Here is an 8,366-nt window from a genome sequence, read left to right on the forward strand (position 1 = left end):
CAAAAAAGTTTGAATTATCTTTTCAAATTCTCCAAGCCCTACTCTTTTTCTCCTCTCCTTCTGGCTCTCTGATTATACAAGTGTTAGATCTATTGAGATAGTTCTACAGGTCCCTGAGGTTCATTTCTTTTTCGTCTAATTTATCCTGTTTTTCAAATTGGGTCATTTCTGTTGGCCCACATTCAAGTTAACTGGTTCTTTCCTCTGTTGTATTTATTATTCTATTGAGTCCATCCAGTGAATCTTTTATATCTGTTATTACATTTTTTCAGTTCTAAAATTTTTATTTTGTTCTCCTCATATCTTCTATTTCTTTGCTGAGACTTTTTGTTTTACCTCTTGTTTGAAATGCAGTCATAATTGCTTGTTTCGTGGTGGCTGGGGTAAAATCCTTGTTAGATAATGCCAACATCTATGCCATCACAGTGCTGGCATCTGCTGATTGTCATTTCTTATTCAAATTGCGATTCTTGAGGCTCTTGAAATGGCAAGTGATGTCTTTATTGTATCCTATACAGTTTGATATTATGTTGTGAGGCCCTGGATCCTATTTACTCTTCTTTTTTGCAGGCAGTCACCATTTTTAGGTATAGTGTACAAGTCTAGATGTGGATGAAAGTTCAGCTTCCATTCTGGCCCCACTGGTGAATCTACTTCCTGCTGAATCTGGAGCATCCATTTACACTGCCTCATTGCCATTGAGTGAGAGGGGAGGTTCTGCTCTTGCCTGATGGAGACAAGGGAGGAGGAATCAGGAATGCCAATGAGCACCACATCACTATTTGGTATCCGTTGAATTTCCAGATACATTTTAGGATCAGCTTGTCAATTTCTGCAAAGCAGAAGCTGCAATTCTGGTAGGAATTATGTTGACTCTGTAGATCAATTTGTGGAGTATTGTCATTCAGCAATATTCAGTTTTTTGATCGATGAACATGAGATGTCTTTTAATTTATTTGTCTTATGTAATTTCTTTCAACAATGTTTTATAGTTTTCAGAGTATACGCTCTGCACTTCTTTTGTTAAATTTACTCTTAAGTATTTTATTATTTTTGATGTGATTATAAGTGGAATTGTTTTCTTAATTACAATTTTTTATGGTAAAAATACATATATAACATAAAAGTATCATTTTAATCATTTTTAAGTGCACAGTCGTATTAAATACATTCAGATTGCTGTGCAACCATCACCATGATCCATCTCCAGAACTTTTCACCACCCCAAACTGAAAATCTGTACCCATTAAACAATAACTCTTCATTTCTCCCTCCCCCCAGCCCCTGGAAACCACTATTCTGCCTTCTGTTTCTATGAATTTGACTACTCTAGATACCTCATATAAGTGGAATCATACAGTATTTATCTGAATTATTTCATTTAGCATAAGGTCTTCAAGGTTCACCCATGTTGTAAGCATGTGCCAAATTTCTTCCTTTTTAAGACTGAATAATATTCCATTATATGTATATACCACATTTTGTTTATTCATCTGTCAATGGACATTGGAGTTGTTTCCACATTTTGGTTATTGTGAATAATGCTGTAATTTTCATTTTGGATTGTTCATTGCAACTCTATTGAAATATAATTGATTTTTGAATATTAATATTGTATCCAGCAGTTCATTTATTGGTTCCAACAGTAATTTGTTAGATTCCTTAGGATTTTCTACATTCTAGGTCATGTTATCTGCAAATGAAGATCCTTTTACTTCTTTCATTTCAATCTGAATGTCTTTTATTTCGTTTTATTTCTATCTCAGTCAGTTAGCCCTACTATAACAGAATACTGTAGAGTGGGTAGCTTAAATAACAGACATTTATTTCCCACAGTTTCGGAGGATTGGAAGTCCAAGATCAAGGCAACAGTATGGTCAGGTTCTTGGTGAATGCCATTTTTCTGGTTCACAGATAGCTGTCTTCTGTTGTATGGTGACAAGAGAGAGAGAGCTTTGGTCTCTGTCTCCTGTAAGGGCACTAATCCCATTCATGAGGGCTCCACCTTTGTGACCTAATTACCTCTAAAAAGCCCCAATTCCAAATACCATCACGCTGGGAATTTAGGCTTCCACATATGAATTTGGGAGGTGAGGGGATACAAGCAAACATTCGTCTACAGCACTTGTCCAATTGCCTTGGCTAGAACTTCCAGCACAATGCTAAATAGAAGTGGTAAGAATGAGCAACTTTATCTTCTTCCTGATCTTAAGGGGAAAGCATTCATTTTTTGGCCATTAAGCATGATGTCAGTTATAGATTTTTTTTGCAGGTGTGCTTTATCACATTTCTGATATGTTGAGAATTTTTATCATAAAAGGATATATAATTTTGTCGAGTGCTTTTTCTGAATCTGTTAACTATAGTTTTCATTTTTTAGTCTATCAATATGGTGTATCATGTTAATTGATTTTTGGATATTAAAACAACCTTGCCTTCCTGAGATAAATCTCACTTCGTTATGGCGTATAACTTTTTTACATGTTGTGGGATTCAGTTTTCTAGCATTTTGTTGAGTATTTTGTGTCTATATCCGTAAGGGATATTGGTTTGTAGTTTCCTTCTTTTTGTGATGTCTTTATTTGGTTTTAGTATAAGGTATTTGGTGTCTGGCATCATTGCATCAGTTTGGACATATTATCTGCTCTTCTATTTCTTTGAAATAATTTGTAAAGGATTTTGTGTTAATTCTTTAAAGCTAGCTCAGCTTTTAGAATTGGGGAGTGGGGTGAATGGGCATAGTTTTTCCATGGATAGACCTATGATTAATTTCCCTGTATCTCACTTCTAGCTTCCATATCTGTAGGTCTGGGGCTCACTGCTCCCCAGAGTTCAGCTGAGAGGATTGGCTCCCATTCCCACAGTAGCCCCTTCATGCTCACTCTGTTTATTTGCATACTTTCAATGGTTTATTTCAGGAATCTTTTATTTGCTGATGACTCTCCTGCAATTCTCTTTGCTAAAATGCATTTATTCCCTTTAATATCTCTACTGCTATTTCAAAGGGGACTCACGAAAGAGAAGAGGCAAATGTGTGCTGAACCCACCATTTATCATGAGATGAAAGCTCAGCACTTAACGTAGAGATTAACAATTTGTAGCAGCTCCCACAATGTTTGTGAGGTTGAAATGAGTTAAATCCATTGTATTGGGACTTTAGAAACTATATTATGTTATTTGTAGTACTGCTTTAAGTTTTTTCATATTTACAAAATTGAAATATCATTTGATTTGCTTTTATATCTCTGAACATGCAACTCATATAATCATTACATTTTTAGAAGTTTTCATTTAAATGATATATATATTCTTTGGAAGGATTTTAATGATATATGTGTACACGCATACATACACACACACATATATATCCAAAATATTGTAGTCATATTGAATTGACATTGAAATTCTCATTGTACGGTGACTTTTTATTCTTATTTGGGGGTCTTAATTGCAATAGAATGTTATCAAAATCTAAATTGTCTAAATAATTCTTACATTCAGGGAGATTTGGGATTGTTTGGTTTTTCCTTATTATAACTGCCACATTTTAGACATCTGGATTTTGTTTCAGAATTTTTCTTAATAATGAAAACCCTTAAAGACTTTCAGAAGTAATTTAGCCAATTCATCTTGCCCTGAGCTGAAATCTTTAAATCTCTTGCAGGCGTCTCAAGATAACGTACTCCATCTCTCAGTAAAACATTTCCATACTTATTGTACTCTTGAGAAATTCTTTTTTACATCTGTCCTGTTCCAATTTGAGCTTGTCTCCTTTCTTTTACCCTCTGACATTTTTAAGGCGACTAGAACATCCTGGAAGCAGTCACATAATCACCCAAAGAATTTACTGCTTCATCGTCTGACTTTTGAAAAATGCCAAGAGCTGTTATTGTTAAAGTTAAATAATGCCATAGGATGATAATTAATTTGATCCTTAACTGTTCAGTGTCATCTCCCCGCACAGAGAAACAGTGAAATATAATAAGTAATAAATTGGTTAAGGGCATGGGATTTAGTGTTGGTCGTACTTTGATTTCTATCCTGGCTTCTCCACTTACCAGCATATCTCCATACTTTCTTCAGTCTCAGTTTCCTCTTCTGTAAATTGGGATCATAATGCTGCTTCCCTCATATAGTAAGTAAGACTTCAACAAGATACTATGTATAAAGGGCCCCACCCATCTAAAGGGCACCCATAGAGCCCTATAATTATTTGTTTTTATTGTTTATTATCTGTAGCAGATCCACTCTATTAAAGGAAAGCAATGAGATACCATGTAATAGATAACTGTCCTTATGAATTATCTAGGAGATAATCTGCCATTCTATTGCTCTATGAAGCCAAATTTGAGGTAATAATGGGAGTTTTGTTTTTAAAAATGTTTCCTTAAGTCCAAAAGAAGAGGGAAGACACTGAAACTCCTTATAAACTTTAAAGAAATTTTATTCTTAATTACTTTTGGTTTTGCTCATTTTCACAGAAGTCAAGTGTCCTTAAGTCTTGCTGAGCTTCTTAAAGTCCTGTAGATAATGATGCTTGGGTGGCAACTCTCAGCAACCATTGGCAGAGTAGCTATTGGACATATTTGGAATAATTCTTAGATTATTTTATTCTGTGCATTGGACCTCCATTAATGGAGACCAATAGAGAGGAAAGGGAACAGGATGAAATTAACAAGAAAGATACAAAAGAGAAGGATGAGACAGCATTTTAAAACTTAGGCCGCCAAAGGAGGCAAATTCTCCGCTGGGAGAAGCTAATGGAAGCGAGCATGAGTATCACCATTTCATTCTGCTAGTGCCACCCTGTGCTCCCACAGAGAAGGGTCATTAATTTAAGACAATGACAACTACCCAGCTTGGAAACCATAGGCTGAAACTGGAAAACTCCAGAAATAAGGGAGCATAATTGATGGGAACTAAAATGATCATGGAATCACCACCTAAGTTTGATGCTTTTTAAGTGTGAGCAGGTAACTAAGCTAAAGCAGCAATTGATGTTGAAATTGAGCACAAAGGAATAGGGCTTCATCTGTGATTTGGAGGGATCTGCACCCTATTCTAAAGGTTTTGTTGCTTTCATTTTTACCCATTATGTCCAGAGATATTTATTCTAATATTGTATTAGACTATGTGTTTTACTTAAAAATATGAAACTTATAGTAACTGTTTACTTACAGCTATATCATAATTACATTTTTTTTTCTGTAGAGATGAGGTCTGCGTTGCCCAGTCTGGTCTTGAGCTTCTGGCCTCAAGAGATCCTCCTCCCTCGGCTTCATAAATTGCTGGGATAAAAGACATGAGGCACTGTGCCTGGCCCGTAATTAAATAATGGTATTTCAACTTCCAGAAATTAAGTCTCTTTGAGTATGGAAACTCAAGACAGTAAGTTTAATGACGGACTTAATCCTTTTATTTTTTTTTTTTTAGACACAGTCTCACTCTGTTGCCCAGGCTGGAGTATAGTGGCACAATCTCAGCTCACTGCAGCCTCCACCTCCCAGGTTCAAGCAATTCTTCTGCCTCAGCCTCCAGAGTAACTGGGATTACAGGCACCTGCCATTATGCCTGGCTAATTTTTGTATTTTTAACAGAGATGGGGTTTCACCATGTTGGCCAGGCTGGTCTCTTGACCTTTAGTGAGCCACCCACCTTGGCCTCCCAAAGTGCTGAGATTACTGGCATGAGCCACTGCGCCCAGCCTGACTTTATCCTTTTAATGAAAAATGATAAAGTGCTGTACTCAGAAGCTGTCAGTACTGCACTATTATTCTTTGCATCTGTTCCTCAATTCATCAAATGTTTATTGGCACCTTGCTGTGCTTTGAAGGACCTTTTTAAATTTATTTCCATGGCTGCACTTCCTGTATGATGCTTGCTTAATTTTGTCAATTAAAGTTTGAAGACAAAAAGTGCATGCAAATTTCGGTATCAAAATACATGTGAGACATCATTTCATATTCCTCTCCATTGCCAAAGTTTCTCCTTTCTTTTTTCAAATGTTAAAAGCTGAACGGACTGAATTCCTTCCACCTTAAAAGAATTTTTTCAATTGACAAATAATAATTTTACATACTTATGGGGTACATAGAGATTTTGATATATATTCTCTCTAGTGATCAGATTAGGTAGATTAGCATATCCATCATCTCAAACACTTATTGGTTCTTTGTGTTGGGAATGCTCAATACCCTTCTAGGTATTTGAAAATACATAATATGTTGCTGTTAACTATAATCATCCTACAGTGGTATATAGCCCTAGAACTTATTTCTCCTATCTGTAACTTTGTATCCTTTAACAAATATCTCCCTATCCCTCCCTTCTCCCTACCATTCCCAGCCTCTAATATCCTCTGTCCTACTTTTTACTTCTATGGTATCACCTTTTTTAGCTTCCACATATGAGTGAGAACATGTGGTGTTTAATTTTCTGTTCCTGGCTTATTTCACTTAACATAATGTCTTTCGGTTCCATCCAAGTTGCCTCAAATGACAGGATTTCCTTCTATCTTTTTAATAATATAATGTAGTCCTCAATTACTGTCTCTTTTTAGGTTCCCATATTGAGGCTGCTTGGTTTGGATCACAGCGCTAATAAGATCAGCATCTCATCTGTTTCAGTCTTCATGAGTCATTTTCTTCATTGAGGGAATGACGGGAGGGAATGTGTGAGAAGAAATTTCATTGTCTGTTAATTGTGTACCTGATTCTGGCTCTCTAATGTTGATGACTGAAAATGTGTGAACAGCTCGGTTTGAGCCCATCGCTACTAATTTCTCAAACTTCTTTACCAAAGATGCCTCTTAGGATGGCAGAGTGCAAATGTGGGTTCTCAGGATTCTATAGTATAACTTCAGCTGGAATCCTTAAACTCAAAAGTTTCTTTGAAGTATTAAAATTCACATGCTTTTTGGATCTTAAGCAATAGCATAATTGATTTTTAATATAAAATAATATTTCCTCTTTCTGGGCACACAGACTCTATTTCCCAGTCTCCCTTGGAATTAATAACATAGGGCCATGTGATTAGGCTCTAGGTAACCGGAAGTGGGTAGAAGTGATGTACCCTTCTTCTAGGCCTAGCCATAAGAGCTCATGCATGATTGCCTGTGCTTTTTCATCGTCTTCTATGCGGACCCCAGAGGCCACGTGTTCAGTATGGTAGTGACACAGGTGTAAAGAGCCAGGATCCCGCATCCCTATGTGGAGGCAAGGAGCTTGATAATACAGCACATTGTGACATAAGAAAAAAATAAACTTTTATTATGTTAAGCCACTAGGATTTTAGGGGTGGTTTGTTGCAGCAGCTATATTAATTGTCATGATTAATACACCATGAGAACAATTTTTTTCCTATCAGCCTTATTCATCAAGATGCAATTTCATTAATTAATTTTGAAAATGGGGCTGAATTGAAGAATGCTGAACAGACTTAGTGTCTAGGAAACTTCTCTCCTGTTTCTTGCTGTTGAAATATCTCCAGCCCCAGACTTACAAAAATATGTGGATACCAAAAATAGGGTTTTTTTTTCCATTTCTTTCTTTTTTCACAAATATCAATGAACTCTATCAGGGTAACCATTGAGAGAATATGCCCTGAATACCACGGGGGAAAATGCAATATTTTAAGTTTGGGTTGAAATTTTGGCAAGTGAATCTTCTTGTCAAAAATAAAAATTATTTGCATCCTTCTGCAGATTTAGAAGGTTTCTGACCTACTGCCCTTCTGTCTCAATATTAAAACATGACTGATGATGTAATTTATTTAACACCAATGTAATCATTTCTATTACTCACATATTAAGTCTCAAAAGATTAATCTTCCTCATATTTGTTTTCACCAAATGCAAATCCTAGGACATGTAACACTGCCACTCATGCACCTGTTCTCAACACATTTCCAGCGTCCCTAGACACAACCAGGAAAAACCATTTGAGGGCGATCTTTCACCACATTCAGGCATTGTGTAGCCTAGACAATTCCCAGACTCATTCATTCCACCAACAATCTCTCATCAGCACCAACCTCTCATATTTTTGTTATCCCCAAACCACTTAGTACTTGTTAAGTGGACTCTTGGACCATTAAGTGAACAGAAAGATATATGATATGTATTTAAATTATAAAAACTGAAGGTAATATTAAAGGTAAGAATAATTATTTCGTGTCAGTTGAAGATGGCTGATCTCACTGTTAACCTTTCACTAGGTTTTTGGCTCAATAATTGAAGCAGTAGGTTCTACATGCAGTATGTTTCTTTCCTGCCTCTTTATTGCTACTAAGTTAAATAATTCAAAATTACAATGATAGGTCATTAGGAATGTCAGCAAGTGATTGAGGGCTTCATCTGATAATTCTGT

At 36.1% G+C, this 8,366-nt stretch overlaps 1 annotated feature.

The window, feature by feature from the left end:
• Nucleotides 7,771–8,065: a silencer, noted in NCBI's record as "tiled region #7617; HepG2 Repressive non-DNase unmatched - State 13:Ctcf". NCBI's record gives its function as "represses a minimal TATA promoter and a strong SV40 promoter by Sharpr-MPRA in HepG2 cells {active_cell/tissue: HepG2}" and the evidence as "EXISTENCE:reporter gene assay evidence [ECO:0000049][PMID:27701403]".

Source organism: Homo sapiens, chromosome 11 (genome assembly GCF_000001405.40).
Source record: "Homo sapiens chromosome 11, GRCh38.p14 Primary Assembly".
Lineage (NCBI taxonomy): Eukaryota > Metazoa > Chordata > Mammalia > Primates > Hominidae > Homo > Homo sapiens.